Source organism: Homo sapiens, chromosome 22, assembly GCF_000001405.40.
Source record: "Homo sapiens chromosome 22, GRCh38.p14 Primary Assembly".
Lineage (NCBI taxonomy): Eukaryota > Metazoa > Chordata > Mammalia > Primates > Hominidae > Homo > Homo sapiens.
In genome coordinates, this window is record NC_000022.11 from 21,719,350 (window position 1) to 21,739,024 (window position 19,675).

Consider the following 19,675-nt stretch of genomic DNA (forward strand, 5'->3'; position numbering starts at 1 on the left):
TTTCAACTAAGTTTCTTGTTACTAAAATGAGACTTAAATTAATAAACTTTCATTTCTCTCTTCTTTCCCTGGACTTCCCTTTAACAAAGATACTAAGAATATGAAGTGAAGCAGCTAAGAGAGAGACAGGAAACTTATTCACAAACTGGGTATTCAGGTCTCTAGCGTTCAGAATCCCTGCTCCAAGTGACTCAAGTAGAGAGCTACAGAAACTGCCCTTCACTTTGTTCATCATTTTAAAATAAGTAGTATCAGCCAGGGGCGGTGACTTATGCCTGTAATCCCAACACTTTGGGAGGGTGAGGCAGGAGGATCACTTGAGGTCAGGAGCTCGAGACCAGTCTGGACAACATGGCGAAACCCCGTCTCTATTGAAAATACAAAAATTAGCCAGGCGGCCGGACGCGGTGGCTCACGCCTGGAATCCCAGCACTTTGGGAGGCCCAGGCGGGTGGATCATGAGGTCAGGAGTTCAAGACCAGCCTGGCCAAGATGGTGAAACCCGTCTCTACTAAAAATACAAAAATTACAGCGCACCTGTAATCCCAGCTACTCAGGAGGCTGAGGTGGGAGAATCGTTTGAACCTGGGGGGCGGAGGTTGCAGGGAGCCAAGATCGCACCACTGCACTCCAGCGTGGGTGACAGAGCGAGACTCCATCTCAAAAAAAAAAAAAAAAATTAGCCAGGCGTGGTGGTGAGTGCCTGTAATCCCAGCTACTTGGGAGGCTGAGGCAGGAGAATCACTTGAACCTGGGAGGCAGAGGTTGCAGTGAACTGACATAGCACCAATGCACTCTAGCCTGGGTGACAGAGCGAGACTCTGTATCAAAAAAAAAAAAAAAAAAAAAGCAGTATCACTTTTTTGTGTGTGAGACAAGGTCTCAGTCTGTTGCCGAGGCCGGAGTGCAGTGGCATGGTCACACAGCTCACTGCAGCCTTGACCTCCTGGGCTCAAGCAATCCTCCCAGCTCAGCCTCCCAAGTAGCTGACACTACAGGCCCATGCCACCACGCCTGGCTAATTTTTTTGTTGTAGAGATGGGGTCTCACTTTGTTACCCAAGCTGGTCTCAAACGCCTGGGTTCAAGTGATCTAACCGCCCCAGCCTCCCAAAGTGCTGGGATTACAGGCATCAGCCACCACACCTGACTGCGATTTTTTGAGACAGTCTCACTCTGTCACCCAGGCTGGAGTGCAATGGCATGATTTCGACTCACTGCAGCCTCCACCTCCTGGGTTCAAGCAATTTTCCTGCCTCAGCCTCCTGAGTAGCTGGGCCTACAGGCATGCACCACCATGCCCAGCTAATTTTGTATTTTTAGTAGAGATGGGGCTTCACCATGTTGGCCAGGCTGGTCTCAAACTCCTGACCTCACATGATCCACCCGCCTTGGCCTCCCACCCACCACGGCTTCCCAAAGTGCTGGGATTATAGGCATGAGCCACCATGCCTGGCCGATTTTGTTTTTTTTTTTTTTTTTGAGAGTCTTGCTCTGTCACTCAGACTGGAGTGCAGTGGTGTGATCTCAGCTTACTGCAAACCCTGCCTTCTGGGTTCAAGCAATTCTCCTGCCTCAGCCACCAGAGTAGCTGGGACTACAGGTGCACACCACCACACCCAGCTAATTTTTTTGTATTTTTAGTAGAGATGGTGTTTCACCATGTTGGCCAGGCTGGTCTCAAACTCCTGGCCTCAAGTGATCTGTCTGCCTCAGCCTCCCAAAGTGCTGGGATTACAGGTGTGAGCCACTGTACCTGGCCAACATTTTGGGTTTTTTGGGGGGGGGAGGGGAGGACAGAGTCTCGCACTGTTGCCCAGGCTGGAGTGCAGTGGCACAATCTCAGCTCAGTGCAACCTCCGCCTCCTGGGTTCAAGCCTCAGCCTCCTGAGTAGCTGGGATTACAGGCGTGTGCCACCACGCCCGGCTAATTTTTTTTGTGTGTATTTTTAGTAGAGATGAGGTTTCACCATGTTAGCCAGGATGGTCTAAATCTCCTGACCTCGTGATCTGCCCGCCGCAGCCTCCCAAAGTGCTGAGATTACAGCAGTGAGCCACCATGCCCAGCCTTTTTTTCTTTTTTTTTTTTTTTTGAGACAGAGTCTCGTTCTGTCACTCAGGCTGGAGTACAGTGGCGTGATCTTGGCTCACTGCAACCTCCACCTCCTGGGTTCAAGCGATTCTCCTGCCTCAGCCTCCTGAGTAGTTTGGATTACAGGTGCACATCACCATGACTGGCTAATTTTTATATTTTTAGTAGAGAAGAGGTTTCGCCATGTTGGCTAGGCCGGTCTCCAACTCCTGACCTCAAGTGATCCACCTGCTTTGGCCTTCCAAAGGGCTGGGATTACAGGCCTGAGCCACTGTGCCCGGCCCAACATTTTTTTTTCTTTAATTGCTGTTTGTCCTGAACACATTTTAAGTGGACAGAACATTGTAGACTCTCGGTACAATGGACAGCAGATCTCTAGGGCTCGTTCATCTTCCTTACCTGAAACTTTATGCCTGTGGATTAATAAATTCCCATTTCCTCCTCCACCAAGCCCCTGGCAGCTACCATCCTGATGTTTGATTCCATGAATTTGACTTCTCTAGATACCTCATGTAAGCAGAATCATGCAGTGTTTGTCCATACCTGGCTTATTTCACTGAGCACATAATGTCTTCAAGGTACATCCATGTTGTTGCCTACTACAGAATTCCCTTGTCTTTTTTTAAGGCTAAATAGTAGTCCATAAAGAGAACATGGTATACACATACAGGGAAAGCACTTCAAAAAGTGGCCATTTGGCCAGCGCGGTGGCTCATGCTTGTAATCCCAGCACTTTCGGAGGCCAAGGCAGGCAGATCACAAGGTCAGGAGTTCAAGACCAGCCTGGCCAATATGGTGAAACCCCATCTCTACTAAAAATACAAAATTAGCCAGATGTGGTGGCACGTGCCTGTAGTCCCAGCTACTTGGGAGGCTGAGGCAGAAGAAATGCTTGAACCCTGGAGATGGAGGTTGCAGTAAGCCGAGATCACGCCACTGCACTCCAGCCTGGGCAACAGAGTGAGACTCGTTCTCAAAAAAACCCCAAAACCAAAAAACACCTGTCTCTACTAAAAATACAAAAAAATAGCCAGGCATGGTGGTGCATGCCTGTAATCCCAGCTACTTCAGGGGGCTGAGCCAGGAGAATCACTCGAACCTGGGAGACGGAGATTGCAGTGAGCCGACATCGTGCCACTGCATTCCAGCCTAGGCAACAGAGTGAGACTCTGTCTCGGGGGCAAAAAAAAAACAAAACAAGTGGCCATTTGCCAAGGGTTTTGTTTATTTTGAATTTCTAAATGCCATGAATGCCTAACTGCAGATCATCTTTTGGGAGAAAACGCAAGCCCCCACCCCACAGTCCGTAACCTCTGGGGCCAACACTGGTGCACATCGCTTGTCCTTCCACAAAGGACACCTGTGTTAGGAGTAAGAGCACAGGAAGTGAGGACCCTGGGCAGGAAGGGGTGGCAACGACTTCTGGGGGATTATTTTTTTTTAATTAATTTTTTTTTAAATATGCTGCCCAGGCTGGAGTGCAGTGGCTATTTACAGGCACGATGCCACTACTGATCAACATGGGAGTTTTGACCTGCTTTGTTTTCAACTTAGGCCTGTTCACCCCTCTTTAGGCAACCTGGTGGTCCCCTGCTCCTGGGAGGTCACCATATTGATGCCTAACTTAGTGTGGACAACTGAACTGCATAGCACATTACAGCCCAGAACTCCTGGGTTCAAGCGATCTCCCCACCTCAGCCTCCCGAGTTGCTGGGACTACAGCAGTGAGTGGTGCGCCTGGCAGGGGATTTTATTTAATTAATTGTTTTTTTGAGACAGAGTCTCACTCTGTCATCCAGGCTGGAGTGCAGTGGCGTGATCTCGGCTCACTGCAGCCTCTGCCTCCTGTGTTCAAGCGATTCTCCTGCCTCAACCTCCCAAGTAGCTGGGACTACAGAAGTGCACACTGCACCTGGTGGGGGATTTTAGTTAATATTTTTTGAAACAGAGTCTCACTCACTCTGTCATCCAGGCTGGAGTGCAGTGGCGCGATCTCGGTTCACTGCAGTCTCTGCCTCCTGGGTTCAAGCCATTCTCCTGCCTCAGCCTCCAGAGTAGCTGGGATTACAGGTGCAGGCCATTACATTCAGCTAATTTTTGCATTTTTAGGAGAGACAGGGTTTTGCCATGTTAGCCAGGTTGGTCTCAAACTCCTGACCTCAGGTGATCCACCACCTCAGCCTCCCAAAGTGCTAGGATTACAGGTGTGAGCCACTGTGCCTAGCTGGAATTTTATTTTATTTTAATTAATTTTTTTTTTTTTGAGACGGAGTCTCATTCTGTTCCCCAGGCTGGACTCACTGCAACCTCTGCCTCCCAGGTTCAAACGATTCTCCTGCCTAAGCCTCCTGAGTAGCTGGGTCTACAGGTGCACGTCATCACGCCCAGCTGATTTTTTGTATTTTTAGTAGAGACAGGGTTTCACCATGTTGGCCAGGCTGGTCTCCAACTCCTGACCTCAGGTGATCCACCCGCCTTGGCCTCCCAAAGTGCTGGGATTACAGGTGTGAGCCACCACGCCTGGCCTGGGATTTTATTTTTTAAGCTGCTGTTGGGTATACACATGTCCATTTTATTAATCTTCATTTCTCATCTGTACGTACCATGTATGTCTTGAGATGGCAAAAGGATCTTCCATTGAGTGAAAAGTGAGTCTCCCATCCCAGAGCCCCAGTCCCACTCCAGGGACAGCACAGCAGCAGTTCCTCTTGACCTCAGGAACATTCCACAGGCACAGGCTCCGTGTACCTCCTTCAAACCTCATCACACTCTGCTTAAATAATTTAGTATTTTGTAATTATGAAATAGTTCATTAAGGCTGGGCATGGTGGCTCACACCTATAATCTCAGCACTTTGGGAGGCCAAGGCAGGCAAATCATGAGGTCAGGAGTTTGAGACCGGCCTGGCCAACGTGGTGAAACCCCATCTCTACTAAAAATACTAAAATTAGCCATGCGTGGTGGCGGGCACCTGCAATCCCAGCTACTCAGGAGGCTGAGGCAGGAGAATAGCTTGAACTCGGGAGATGGAGGTTGCTGTGAGCCATGATCGCACCACTGCACTCCAGCATGGGTAACAAAGCAAGACCTCATCCTGGGGGGAAAAAAATAGTTCATTAAAAAATTTTTTTCTTTTTTTTTTTTTTTGTTTTTGTTTTGAGACAGGGTCTCACTCTGTTGCCCAGGCTGGAGTGCAGTGGCATAATCTCAGCTCACTGCAACCTCTGCCTTCCGGGTTCAAGTGATTCTTGTACCTCAGCCTCCCAAGTAGCTGGGATGACAGGTGTGCGCCACCACACTTGGTTCATTTCTGTATTTTTTGTAGAGACAAGGTTTCACTATGTTGCCCAGACTGGTCTCAAACTCCTGGCTCGGGCCATCCACCCACCTTGGCCTCCCAAAGTGCTGGGATTAGAGGCATGAACCATTGCACCAGCCTAAGAAAATAAAATTTTATTTTACTTTTTCTTTCTTTTTTTTTTTTGAAATGGACTTTCGCTCTTTCCGCCCAGGCTCGAGTGCAATGGTGCAATCTCGGCTCACTGCAACCTCTGCCTCCCGGGTTCAAGTGATTCTCCTGCCTCAGCCTCCCAAGTAGCTGGGATTACAGGCATGTGCCATCATGCCCGGCTAATTTTATATTTTTTTAGTAAAGATGGGCTTTCACCATGTTGTCCAGGCTGGTCTCGACCTCCTGACCTCAAGTGACCCACCTGCCTCAGCCTCACAAAGTGTTGGGATTACAGGCATGAGCCACCATACCTGGCCCTAAAATGGTAATTTTTTTTTTTTTTTTTGAGACGGAGTCTCACTCTGTCGCCCAGGCTGGAGTGCAGTGGTGCAATCTCGGCTCAATGCAAGCTCCATCTCCCGGGTTCATGCCATTCTCCTGCCTCAGCCTCCCAAGTAGCTGGGACTACAGGCACCCGCCACCACACCCGGCTAATTTTTTGTATTTTTTGTATTCTTTGGTAGAGACAGGGTCTCACTATCTTGCCTCGGCTGGTCTCGATCTCCTGACCTCATTATCCGCCTGCCTCGGCCTCCCAAAGTGCTGGGATTACAGGTGTGAGCCACTGTGCCCAGCCTAAAATGATAAAATTTTAAAGTCACTTGGGTGGTTTTATTAAATCTAGATGGTAGAAAAAAAATCACTGACTAGTGTCCTGGCCCCTGAAAGGCACTTAAATATCTAGGGAATGAATATGTATCAGGGGAATCCTCACACGGAGACAGCAAAAGTAAATGGGGGTTGAAACATCACTACTGCGGCCGGGTGCAGCAGCTCACGCCTGTCATCCCAGCACTTTTGGAAGCCAGGGCAGGAGGATCACTTGAGCCCAGGAGTTCGAGACCAGCCCAGGCAAGATAGTGAGACCCTGTCTCTACCAAAGGAAAAAAAAAAAAAAATAGCCGGGCACGGTGGCACATGCCTGTGGTCCCAGCTACTCCAGAGGCTGAAACTGGAGGATTGCTTAAGCCGGGGAGGTCGAGGCTATGGTGAGCCGTGATGGTGCCCCTGCACTCCAGCCTGGGCAACAGACCGAGACCGTGTCCAAAAAAAGAAACATCAGTACTTGATATGAGAAATGGCCACTAAACACTGGTAAGCTTGTTAAAAACATGGACCCATGGGCACCAAGGAGTCTCTGCGGGCAGGGGCCGTGGGGTGCGGGCAGCTGCAGATTCACCTCACCCAGACCCACATGTCCCCAGGGTCTAGGACCATGGTCCCCAAAGAGCAGTGCACAAGCCAGGGCCCTGCCAGCGCTGTCCAGGAAGGACCAGCCGCAGCCTGCTGTGGCCCCAAGCTGGTCCCAGAAGGTTCCAGGAAGGAATCTCATCTATTCAGGCGCAAGGCCCCCAGAATGACAAGAATGTTGCCAAAGACAGGCGTTTGCCCTTTACATCATGCATCTGCACCTTAGGGTCGGCAAATTCTCAGGCCGTTGAATTCTCACAACATCCTGAGAAATAGGCATCCCTGCCCGCTAGCGGCCACCACAGTCCCACAGGCGGGTACTCAATCCAGAGCACAGGTGCTCTCCGCTCTCGGTCCCACCTGGCCTGAGAGGGAGGAGCATCAGCGGAGGACAGTCCAGTCCCCAGGAGGGAGGGGACCCTCTGACCACCAGTGTTCCAGGCAGGAGGAAGCGGTGCGTCCCCATCAGGGTCCTGTGTTACCCCAGGGTCCTCCATGCTGTAACTGTTCTCTATTTGCTCAAAGCCTGTAACTCTCAGTGGAGATACCACCCCTGGTGGCTGTAGCCCAGCCTGCTGCCCTCCCTTGCTGGCCCCTTCCTGCACCTGGGCTGTCCCCACAGCAAGTGCCACTGGCTGAGCCTCCCAGCTGTGAGGCAGACAGATGCAGCGACAAGCTCAGATCTCAGCTCTCGCCTCCACCTTGTGGTTTCTCTGAGTGTCACACATCCCCAGTGGGATGCAGAGGACGCTACTAACTCTTCCTGGACCAGAGTGCCTAGGGCTCTGCAGAGTAAACACTGAGGGCACCGCTAATTACAAAAAGCCTTGTTTCCAACCAAAACAGGCTTGCTGTTTCCCAAGCACACTTCGCATGGGCTTTATTTGGAGACCTTCATTATACAGCCCCGCCCCCAAGGCAATCTTACCTGAAGAGCCTGCTGCCCTGGGTCCCAAATGTCCCCCAAGTCCCTGTCCCTGTCTCCTGCCTTGAGTCTGGTCACTGCACAGATGCCTCCCGTGCGCTTCATGTGGTCTCAGTCCTGATGGCAACCCTTGTCACTAGCCCTCAAAGGGGTCCTGGCAGTAGTGGCCAGGGCTGTATTTGTGGTCACTGAGAGGCATGTCATGTTAAGTTTTAACTTGGCTTTAAATGACAGATCCACTGTTGCACTGGGGAACCCATGGCCAAGTTTGGAAACAACCAATGTAAATGGGCTTTTACAAGATCTATTGGCAAATAAGGAACCACCCTGAAGTAAGTAACTGAAAGGAAAATGCTGGGCAATTCACCAGGAAAATCATCTCCACTCTCGGACACTGTGTGTCCCCACGTTTGGAGGGCAGCTGCCATCCATCCCCCCAAATAGACATTAATGTGGGGTATGTTTTTAGAGCAAAAACAATTTTCTGGAATCCAGAAATTTCTCTCCTAAAATAAGCCTGTAAAATTATTTTAAGAGAATGTGAATCAGGCCCATGTCCATATGGTGCCGGTAGCACACTTCTAAAGACAAACACACTGAGGAAGCAAACAAAACCAAGCAGCTTCTGACACTTCATGGGATGGAGTGCAGACTGGGGTGCCCCCTTCACTTTTTCAACCACCCCACTGGGTCGTCGCCCCATCCCTGGGGCACCTGTGTAGAGGACAGCCTGTTCCCCTCAATCCCCAGGCTGCTCCACCTACCCCCTGGCACTGCCACCACCTGGCAGGTGAGTGTGGGTCCCATCCCCATTACTTCCCCGGGGAGCCCTCCAGGGTGTCCCGAGATGGAAAGGAGGCCTCAGGCAGATACGGAAGCCAGTGCGTCAGGGTCAGAGGCTGCAAAGCTGGAGGAGAACTGGGGCGTCTGCTGGGCGTGGCGATGAAGGGGCTGGTGTGCCAGGTGGACAGAATGCCAGGGAGAGCGGGGAAGGAACAGTGCTCATGTGGCCCCGCCATGTTCAGCCAGGATTCATAAAGAAAGTGGAACCAGGATATCATGGTCCACCTCTTTAGGGAGGAGAGGGATGAGCGGTGAGAGGTGGTGGTGTCACCTGCCCGGCCAGCCGTCCCCACAGCTTCTCCACCTCCGCTCCCACTCGGCCACCCCTTCCTTCCCCTCCTCTCCATGGAGGAGGCCTCCCTGCTTTTAGCTTTGCCTCTCCCACCCCTCACTGGCAAGGCACCGTCCTTGGGATTAGAAAGATGAAAAGGCCACCGCCATCACGGAGGGAATGGACAACGGATAAAACCACCAGCTCCTGGAAAAGGACGTGCAGCGGCTCCCAGAGCCTTGGCAAGCCAACACCAGCCCTGTCCTACACTGCTCACCATACAAGAATCGCACGATTAACAGCAGTTCTAAGAGATGCGTGTCCTTATTAGCCCCACGATGCACATGGGGAAACCGAAGTCCAAAAAGGTTACCTGAGCACCCAAGGTTGCACAGCCAGTGACCTGTGAAGCTGGATTCAAAGCCAGAGTCTCCCCACCTTGGACCACGGTGTCCAAGGTGGAACATGCAAGTAGATGTTCAACTCTGAAGGCACACTCATACTGTCTAACACTTAGCAGGTTGGCAATGATTTTTTTAAAAGTTAGGCCAGGCGTGGTGGCTCACACCTGTAATCCCAGCACTTTGGGAACCCAAGGTGGGTGCATCGCTTGAGTCCAGGAGTTTGAGACCAGCTTGGGCAACATGGTGAAACCCCGTCTCTACAAAAAAATACAAAAGCCCAGGCACACTGGCTCACGCCTGTAATCCCAGCACTTTGGGAGGCCGAGGCGGGTGGATCACCTGAAGTCAGGAGTTCTAGACCAGCCTGGCCAACATGGTGAAACCCCATCTCTACTAAAAATACAAAAATTAGCCGGGCATGGTGGTGTGTGCCTGTAATGCCAGCTACTTGGGAGGCTGAGGCAGGAGAATTGCTTGAACCCAGGAGGCAGAGATTGCAGTTAGCTGAGATTGCGCCATTGTACTCCAGCCTGGGCAACAAGAGCAAAACTCCATCCTGAAGAAAAAAAAAAAAAATTAGCCGGGCATGGTGGTGCATGACTGTGGTGCCAGCTACTTGGAAGGCTAAGGCAGGAGAATCACTTAGGCCCAGGAGGGAGAGGTTGCAGTGAGCCGAGATCACACCACTGCACTCCAGCATTGGTGACAGAGTACGATCTTATCTCAAAAAAAAAGTTGATAAGGTCAGGGGTGGCCCATGCCTGTAATCCCAGTGTTTTGGGAGGCCAAGGTGGGAAGATTACTTGAGGCCAGGAGTTCAAGATCAGCCTGGCCAACACAGCAAGACCCCCATCTCTAAAAAAAAAAAAAAAAATGAGCTGGGTGTGCACCTGTAGTCCCAGCTACTTGGGAGGCTGAGATGGGAGGATCACTTGAGGCCAGGAGGTCAAGGTTGCTGTGAGCCATGATCACACCACTGCACTCCAGGCTGGGCGACAGAGCGAGACAGTCTCTACAAATAATAAATTAAATTTAAAAATTTAAGAAGTTGACAACACCACTGGTGAAGGTGCTCTGTGATCCAGCCATTTGGCAACACCCACAACATTCCTAGGAGCACAGCCCTGGATGGGGGTTCATCTGGGGAGTTCACCTTTGGCTGATGCACATGTGCAAAATAACTGGATAAAAGCAGTTATTACCTGAAATAACAAAATATCATCCTATAATAATACTGCCTGTAATAAAAGATTAGAAACCACCTCAAGTTTAACCAATAGAGGCTAGCACGGTGGCTCACATCTGTAATCCCAGCACTTTAGGAGGCCGAGATGGGCAGATCACCTGAGGTCTGGAGATCGAGACCAGCCTGGCCAACCAACATGGTGAAACCTCGTCTCTACTAAAAATACAAAAATTAGCTCGGTGTGGTGGTGGGCACCTTTAGTCTCAGCTACTAGGGAGGCTGAGGCGGGAGAACTGCTTGAACCCGGGAGGCAGAGGTTGTGGTGAGCCAAGATTGTGCCACTGTACTCCAGCCTGGGCAACAGAGCGAGACTCCTTCTCAACAAAAGCAACAACAACAACAAAGTTTAACCAAAAGAGACTGGCCAAATGCACTGATAAACACACATCAGGGACATTTCCATCATGGGGCTTCCAGAGTCTCGCTCTGTCTCCCAGGCTGGAGTGCAGTAGCACGATCTTGGCTCACTGCAGCCTCCGCCTCCTGGATTCAAGCAATTCTTGTGCCTCAGTCTCCCAAATAGCTGGGACTACAGGCACCTCCCACCATGCCTGGCTAAGTTTGTATTTTTAGTAGAGATGGGGTTTCACCATGTTGGCCAGGCTTGCCTTGAACTCCTGACCTCAAGTGATCCACCCGCCTTGGCCTCCCAAAGTGTTGGGATTACAGGCGTGAGCTACAGCATCTGGCCCACACTGACTATTCAAACTCTCACATAGTACATGAAGTCACAGGTGTGGAAAGGTCTGGAAAAATTTACAACAAAGGGCAACAGCATGGGTACAATTTGCCTTTGGCAATTCCAGCTTCCATCCACACACATCCACTTCCTCCCTACTTGCATTACAGGAGGAAAAGCTCCCCTCCACATTTCAGGAACTGCAGCCTAGGTGCACAATGGGACTCACTGACAGCATCAAACCACCTATATGGCTGCCCTGAGACAAAGCTCCATGGCCCTCTGTAGACTCCCCACCAGCCCCTGCTCTCTGGGGAACCCAAGGGGCCTGGCTCCTCCATTGCCCAGTGGCCCCAGGTGCCTCGGCCCTCCAGGCTCTCTCCTCCATCTCTCCTCCCACCTGTGCTCAAGTACTACCTCTACCACCTCTCCTGAGACTACTGATAATGTGCTTGTACTGAGCGCTTCTTTTCAAAGAACCTGTACTACATTTTTTTTTCTACCATTAGTAACAAAGTTTCCCACAACCAAGGCCCTGGGACACATCCCAGTAGAGGTGCTTTCTTGCTAACAACAAGAAGAGGGGGCTGTGCATGGTGACTCATGCCTGTAATCCCAGCACTTTAAGAGGCCAAGGTGGGAGGATCATCTGAGGTCAGGAGTTCGAGACCAGCCTGGGCAACATGGCGAAAACCCGTCTCTAAAAAAAAATTTAAAAATTAACCAGGTGTGGTGGCACGTGCCTGTCGTCCCAGCTACTCGGGAGGCTGAGGTGATCGCCACTGCACTCCAGCCTGGATGACAGAGTGAGACCCTGTGTCAAAAAAAAAAAAGAAAGAAAAGGGGAGGTGTAGGAACTATGTGCAACACTAGCCTTGTTAGGTTGAAAGAGTGGGTACCACACCCAGAAGACTGGATTGAGATAGAAGAAAAGAGGTTGAGAATCTTAAAAACTACTTTATTTACCCTCATGCTAAATAAAGTCTCATCAGACATTAAAGGCCCTGTCTTGGGGCAAGAGAAGGGGGGAAAAAAAAAAAAAAAAACAGATACACAAAGAGGAACCAGAAAAGGTGAGGGGGAAGCGTTTGGGTGGCGGGGGTATATGCCAATGCTGCTGAGAAGGCAGGTGGCACCACGAGGGAGGGAGTAGGTGAGGTTTGGCAACAGGGATGTCATCACCCCCAGGACAAAGGTGAAAGAGGGTCTGACTTGCTTTGAGAGGCTTCCCAGGCTTTGATGCAAAATGTGCCACGTGTTTGTTGGCTCTGGGACCTGAAGCCAAGTTCTGCTACCTTCTTTGTAAAGTGGGGTAACGTGCAATTTACAGGGCAGTCAGAGTCACATGAGATGTTAAGGGGGATGATCCTTGGGCACAGTTTAGGTGTCTGACCAGGGCCTTACGGCAGGAGCATGTGTCACTGTTACAGGACGGCAGGGGCTCAGCAAGCACCTCACAAGCCCCACCAGGAATCCCGGCCCCGGCCCAAGGCCCTGCAGGTGCCAGAGGGCCTACTGAGCAATGGGGTGAATAACGGCTCCTAACCCCTTTCTGGGGTGTGGGCAACAGTGGTTGGCTCCAGGATTTCCATTTTACTCTCACCTGCCAACAGGTTTTTGGTACTCAGCATCTGTATAGCAGGTGTAACGTCCTGGCATTTGCTGGCGGAATCGATTTCACCCTCTTGACTTCTTTCCTGAATCTATCTCGCACTGCTTGCTCCAAAAACCCTTAGCCCTCTATGTCTTGGCTATTGAGAACTTTCTTCAACCTCCGCTCAAATCTCTTGTCAAAATTCCCACTCCCTAGAGCTTTCACTGATTATTAGATCTAACTACTTAAAAACATTTACGTCAACTTCATTTAACTCTAATGAAAAGCATCACAGAACAGTTTGAAAGCAGGGGGGCTTCTATTGCTTCTTCATATTCAAAACAATTTTGTTTATTAGTCTTCCATGGAGACAAATATGTTAAAACTACAGGGTTGGCCAGGCGCGGTGGCTCACGCCTGTAATCCCAGCACTTTGGGAGGCCGAGGCAGGCGGATCACTTGAGGTCAGGAGATTGAGGCCATCCTGGCCAACCTGGTGAAACCCCGTCTCTATTAAAAATACAAAAATTAGCTGGCTGTTGTGGCGGGTGCCTGTAGTCCCAGCTACTCAGGAGGCTGAGACAGGAGAATCGCTTGAACCCGGGAGGCGGAGGCTGCACTGAGCCGAGATCACGCCACTGCACTCCAGCCTGGCGACAGAGTGGGACTCTGTCTCAAAAATAACAACAACAACAAAAACAAACAAACAAACTGCAAGGTAGGCTGGGCTCACACCTGTAAATCCCAACACATCGGGAGGCTGAGACTGGAGGATCACTTGAGGCCAGGAGTTTGAGATCAACCTGGGCAACACAGTGAGAACCCCAAACCTCATATCTACCAAAAAAAATTTTTTTTTTATATAGCTGGGCATGGTGGTGCACACCCACAGTCCCAGCTACTCAGAAGGCTGAGGCTGTAGGATTGCTTGAGCCCAAGAGGTTGAGGCTGCAGTGAGCTATGATTGTGCCACTGTACCCCAGGCTTGAGTGACAAAGCAAGACTCTGTCTCTCTAATATAACAAAACAAGGCTGGGCACTGTGGCTTACACCTGTAATCCCACCACTTTGGGAGGCTGAGGGGTGGCAGATCATCTGAGGTCAAGAGTTTGAGACCAGCCTGGGCAACATGGTGAAACCCTGTCTCTACTAAAAATACAAAATTAGCTGGGTGTGGTGGCACATGCCTGTAATCCCAGCTACTCGGGAGGCTGAGACAGGAGAATCGCTTAACCCTGGAGGTGGAGGCTGCAGTGAGCCGAGATCATGCCACTGCACTCCAGCCTGGGTGAGACAGAGCGAGACTCTGTCTCAAAAAATAAACAAATAAAGTAACAAAACAAAACTAACTGGGGGTGGTGGCTCACACCTATAATCTCAGCACTTTGGGAGGCAAGGGGGGAGGATCGCTTCAGCTCAGGAGTTTGAGACCAGCAACAGAGTGAGATCCTGTCTCTACAGAAAAATCAAAAAATTAGCTGGGTATGGTGGTGTGTGCCTGTGTTTCCAGCTACTCAGAAGGCAGGTGGATGGCTTGAACCTAGGAGGTTGAGGCTGCAGTGAGTGGAGACAGTGCCATTATACTCCAGCCTGGGTGACAGAATGAGACCTTGTCTCAAAAAACCAATTTGTTTGTTGAAATAAACAAACCAAAACAAACCAACAAAAAAAGAAAGAAAAAAGGAAAAAACCTATAGGGTAGCCTCTTTCCCTTTTCCTGCATCCCTGCCCCTTGACACAGGTGCTGGTGGAACTTAGTGAAGACAGGCAAGAATCAAGAACAGATGTTAGAGGAACACTGCTCTCAACCTAAAGAAAATAGCTTTATGGTGAGGTATAGCAGCTCAAGCCTGTAATCCCAACACTTCAGGAGGCTGAGGCAGGTGGATCACTTGAGCCTAGGAGTTCAAGACCAGCCTGGGAAACATTAAGTGAGACCCCAGTCTCTACAAAAAAAAATGTAAAGTTAACCAGTCATGGTGGTGTGCACCTGTAGTCCTAGCTACATGGGAGGCTGAGGCAAGAGGATCACTTGGGCTCAGGATGTGGAGGTTGCAGTGAGTCGTGTTTGTGCCACTGCACTCCATCCTGAGCAAGAGTGAGACCCTGTCTCAAACAAAGAAACAAACAGAGAAATGGCTTTATAAATTACAGTGATTCAAAGGTGAAAAGGCTTAATACCCACAGTTTAGTGACAAGAATGCACCCAGGTGTTTTTCATATTGGCAAGTGTACCACAGCAGTGTAGGATGGGGTAAGGATAGGGAGCACTGGGTGTAGGATATATTGGGATTGTCTGTACTATCTTTGCAACCTTTATGTAAATTTAAAGTTTTTCCAAAATAAGAAGTTATTTTAAAAGAAGACTATTGCTCAGATTGGTAATTAAGAGCGCTCAGTTATTATATAAATGCTCAATATGGGCCCAACCCGTAGGGGTTCCCACAAGTAGATGAGACTCTACCCTGTAGGGCCCAAGAGGAAACACCATGAAGGTCCTGGAGATCCTCTTATTCCTCAAACATGCCACTACCATTGCCTCGCAAGAGCCCTGAGGGGGACCAGTGCATGATTGTAAGACAAAATGACATCAGGATTAAGCACAGCTCCTGGCACCTGGCAGGGGCTCAGCAAACATTTGTCACATCTATAGCTTGCTCAGGTGAGGTGCCTGGAAAGTCTCCCCAGTGGTGGTAAACCTAGTCTTGGGACCTGAGTAGGGAATTAGGAGTGTCAGGGGCTGGTGGGTGGGAAGAATAACATTCTTAGCAAAGGAAACATCAGGTTAAGGTGGGTATGTTTTAGATAGAGGAAGAAGAAATGCAACGGAACAGAAAAAGCGTGGGGCGGGGAAATTGATGTCTTCCATGTTCATTATCTGCCTAAAATAGAATCTCAGCCTTTTTTCCATCCTTAGAATTCAGCACATAATTTGGACATCAAAGATGTCAATCAGAGCCAAGCATGGGGGAGGCGGACCCTGTTTAGATCTCTGAAGCTCAGGCTTTTGCAATCTCTGTTAACGAAACCTATGCCACAAGTGGTAAATACCGAGGACGCTCCATTTTAGTCATGATCTTTATGTGGCTACTTGAAAAGCTTTTCCGCCTTTCTGATAAACATTCCTAGGAGACCTCTTTTGCCCTCATTTCCTTGCCCAGTTGAGGCTGTATTTTTTAAGGAAGGAAAATCCAAAAATCAGGGATCTTGTCCATTTTCCCTATCTTTTCACGGCGGGGCGGGAGAAGAGGGACAGCGGGGGAGGTGGAGAGAAGAAACGGCGGGGGAATCAAAGATTAGGCGTTGTTGTCTGTGCCAAAACGGAGTGAGCCCAATATCAACAAATCAAAATCCAAAACGGAACAAAAAAGTCACAGGCCCGCCCTGCTCGCGCCCCCGCCCGCCCGGACGCCCAACAGGTGCTTCCCGGGCCCGCCCGCAGCCACAGTATCCTTGGGTGGCCACAAAGTAACCGCCCGCGCAGCTGCAGCCAGGCCCGCCCGTACTCACGGCCGCTCCGCGGTCCGCGCCCCGGCCCGCAGCGCCCATCCGGCCCGGGCCCCGGTCAGCGCGGGCTCGGCTCTCAGGCGTTCCCGGCGCGGCCCGGGACGCGCTGAGGCCGTTAACGCCTAGGCAGGGCGCGAGGCATCCTCCCGCCGCCGCCCCGCGGGCCGCCTGCCCTTTGTTTTGGAGCCGTAGCCCGGCCCAGACGCCGTTAACAGCCTTGGAGCGCGGCGCCGGCCAATCAGCGCGCCATGTCGCCAGCGCCCCGCCCCCATCCTGCCTCCGTTCCGCCCCGCGTCCCGCCTGCCCCGCGCGCCCCCGCCCCGCGCGCTCCGGGCCAAGGAGCTCCGCCAGCTCGCACCCGGCCGGGACGGGCAGGAGCCCACGTGCCGCGGGGCGCGCCGCACTCCCATTGGCTGACCCGCCGGGCGCGGCCTCGGAGCCAGCCTGTAAGGGCCGAGGGACACGGGGGCGGGGCCGCGCGGGGCGGGGCGAGAGCAGGGGCGGGTTCCGCGAGGAGCGCCGCGCTCGGACGCAGGCTGGCTGGGCAGGGACACTCGGCCGGCGGGGCTGGCGGTGGTGGTCACTCGTTCCTCCGGCTCGCGGGGATGGGCCGAGGGCGTGCAGGGCCCGCAGCTCCAGAGGCTGAGGCGAGCTTGCGCGCAGCCTCCTCGTCCAGCGCCGTGCACGTACCGCCCGTCCGCGCGGTCGGCCGCGTTGTAGGGGACGGACGTGGAGGCCGAGGCGAGCTTGTGTGCGCCTGACCAGGGCCCGCCTTGGCCGGACCCCTCCGCGGCCGGGTCCCCAGAATGCGGTCGTCCGTGCTGTCCCGTCCCCACCACCCTCTCTGAACCCAAGGACCTAACCCCCTAGGACCCCCTCGCCACGGAGGACCCCCCGGGTCTGCGTCTGGCCCCTCGCTCTGCTCCAGGACTGCCGCGTCAGACCCTACAGAAAGCCCCTTCCTCTGGGTAGTGCTCCCGACGCCCCGGCAGCCTGCGCCACCCCCACGCCTCTAATGTCACTGTTTTCTTGGTTCCGTATCCCTTCTTTAAAAAAATATATATTATTTGAAAATAGATATGTATTATTTGAATATATATATTTGAAGGCTGGGTGTGGTGGCTCACGCCTGTAATTCCAGTACTTTGGGAGGCCGAGGCAGGAGGATCATTTGAGCCCAGGAGTTCAAGAGCAGCCTGGGCAACATAGTGAGACACTGTACCAAAAAAAAAAAAAGAAAGAAATTAGGCATGGTGGTGCACACCTGTAGTCCCAGCTACCTGTGAGGCTGAGGCGGGAGGATCACTTGAGCCCAGGAGGTCGAGGCCTCAGTGAGCCATGATCGCGCTACTGCACTCCAGACTGGGTGACAGAGCGAGACCCTTCCTCTTGAACAAAAAAAAAAAAAAAGAAAAGAAAAAAACCAAGAAAACAACAAAACCTCTATTGAGGTCACAATGTATATAACATTGTTATCAGCGTCCTCTGGACGTATTCTCTTGTTTTCTGCAACCCACTGTGTATGTAAAGATCTCTTCAAGTCGCTAAATGTACACCTGACTCATAACTTAGATTGTGGCTGGATGTTGCCTTTTTTTTTTTTTTTTTTTTTTTCCTTGAGACAGGAGTCTCGCTGTGTCGCCCAGGCTGGAGTGCAGTGGTGTGAGCTTGGCTCACTGCAACCTCCTCCTCCTGGGCTCAAGCGATTCTCCTGCCTCAGCCTCCCCAGTAGCTGAGACTACAGTTGCCCGCCACTAGGCCCGGCTAATTTTTGTATTTTTAGTAGAGACGGGGTTTCACCATATTGGCCAGGCTGGTCTCGAATTCCTGACCTCAAGTGATCCGCCTGCCTCGGCCTCCCAAAGTGCTGGGATTACAGGCATGAGCCCACGCGCCCGGCCCCATTTAACTATTTTAAAGTGTACAGTTCACTGGTATTAAATACATTCATAATGTTGTGCAACCATCATCATCATCCCTCTCCAGAACTCATCTTGCCTAAGTAAAGCTCTGGACTCAAGAAACAATGACTCCCGTTTCCTTCTACCCCATGCCCCGCACCACCCCATTCTACTTTCTGTCCCTATGAGCTTGACTGCTCTAGGTGCCTCACATAAGTGAAATCATCTAGTATTTGTCTTTTTGTGGCTTACTGTGACTTTTGTGGCTCATTTCACTTAGCATAATGTCTGCAAGGTTCACCGATGGTGTAGCACTGTCACAGTTTCCTTCCTTTTTTTAGGCTGAATGATATTCCATTGTATGTAGATACCACATTTTGTTTCTCCACGCATCTGTCAGTGGACACCTGGCTTGCTGCTTCCATACTTTAGCTATTGTAAATAATGCCACTATGAACTTGATGGTACAAACATCCCTTGGCACCCCTGGTTCCAATTATTTTGGGTATATACCCAGAAGTGAAGTTGCTGGATCATATGGTAGTTCTATGTTGAATTTTTTAAGGCGATTACATACTGTTTCCCAACGTAACTGCACCATTTCACATTCTCTCCAACAGTGTACAAGGCTTCCAGTTTCTGCACATCTTCACCAACTGTTATTTTCTGTTTTTTGACAGTGGCCAGCCTGGTGCATGATGGGTTTGGTTTGCACTTGCCTCGTGATTAGTGGTGTTGAGCATCTTTCCGCGGACTTGGTGGCGTCAAGTGTTGTTAACTATGACCACGTGACCACATGACCTATTTCATTTTATCTGTACAACGTTTCTGTTTGGGGTGATAAAAAAATTTGGAATTGGTAGTGGGAATGGCTGTACAACAATGTGAATGCCACTGAATTGCACCCTTAAAATTGTTACAATGGGCCGGGTGTGGTGGCTATGCCTATAATCCCAGCACTTTGAGAGGCCCAAGTGGGCAGATCACCTGAGGTCAGGAGTTCAGGACAAGTCTGGCCAACATGGTGAAACCACCGTCTCTACTAAAAAAAAAAAATGCAAAAAAAATTAGCTGGGCGTGGTGGTGTGTGCCCGTAGTCCCGGCTACTCAGAGGCTGAGGCAAGAGAATCGCTTGAACCCAAGAGTTGGAGGTTGCAGTGAGCCGAGATGGAACCACTGCACTCCAGCCTGGGCAACACAGTGAGACTCTGTCTCAAAAAAAAAAAAAAAGTTAAAATGGTGAATTTTGTTATGTATATTTTACCACAATAAAAGTAGTAAAAGAAAGTCTACATTGTGATCTAGTACACATTTGGATGAACAAAAAGTTTCATGATTTAATACATACTCTTATTTATTTTGGGCAATGCCCTAACATTTCTATCCTCCTCTGTTTTTATTAACAAAATCCCAGGCACGACCTTCTGGGTGGCCTTGGGCAGCACCATCAGCCAGGCCTGCAGCCTGCCACCCCCGCCTGCCTTGTGGTCGCACCATTTATAATCCACTTTC

General features: G+C 50.8%; 1 protein-coding gene and 1 pseudogene across 3 annotated transcripts in view, besides 4 other annotated features; both read right to left on the minus strand.

Annotated features, from left to right (window-relative positions):
• The window catches only part of YPEL1 (yippee like 1), a 38,259-nt gene extending 21,814 nt beyond the window's left edge, over positions 1-16,445 (minus strand). For 2 of the 3 annotated variants that reach the window (NR_130910.2, NM_013313.5), the window contains exon 1: positions 16,266-16,445. The gene's annotated coding sequence lies outside the window, so the exon portion shown is untranslated. Of the gene's footprint in view, positions 1-4,051; positions 4,182-16,265 lie in introns of those variants that run through there. The other variant, XM_047441355.1, reaches the window with a different exon arrangement.
• Positions 3,546-3,833, minus strand: RN7SL280P (RNA, 7SL, cytoplasmic 280, pseudogene; annotated as a pseudogene).
• Positions 4,302-4,532: a silencer, noted in NCBI's record as "fragment chr22:22077940-22078170 (GRCh37/hg19 assembly coordinates)". NCBI's record gives its function as "represses an EF-1alpha promoter that drives an FKBP-Casp9 reporter gene in an ReSE screen in K562 erythroleukemia cells {active_cell/tissue: K562}" and the evidence as "EXISTENCE:reporter gene assay evidence [ECO:0000049][PMID:32094911]".
• Positions 10,658-10,845: a silencer, noted in NCBI's record as "fragment chr22:22084296-22084483 (GRCh37/hg19 assembly coordinates)". NCBI's record gives its function as "represses an EF-1alpha promoter that drives an FKBP-Casp9 reporter gene in an ReSE screen in HepG2 liver carcinoma cells {active_cell/tissue: HepG2}" and the evidence as "EXISTENCE:reporter gene assay evidence [ECO:0000049][PMID:32094911]".
• Positions 16,094-16,143: a silencer, noted in NCBI's record as "silent region_13514". NCBI's record gives its function as "represses an Ori minimal core promoter by ATAC-STARR-seq in GM12878 lymphoblastoid cells {active_cell/tissue: GM12878}" and the evidence as "EXISTENCE:reporter gene assay evidence [ECO:0000049][PMID:35858748]".
• Positions 16,164-17,013: a silencer, noted in NCBI's record as "silent region_13515". NCBI's record gives its function as "represses an Ori minimal core promoter by ATAC-STARR-seq in GM12878 lymphoblastoid cells {active_cell/tissue: GM12878}" and the evidence as "EXISTENCE:reporter gene assay evidence [ECO:0000049][PMID:35858748]".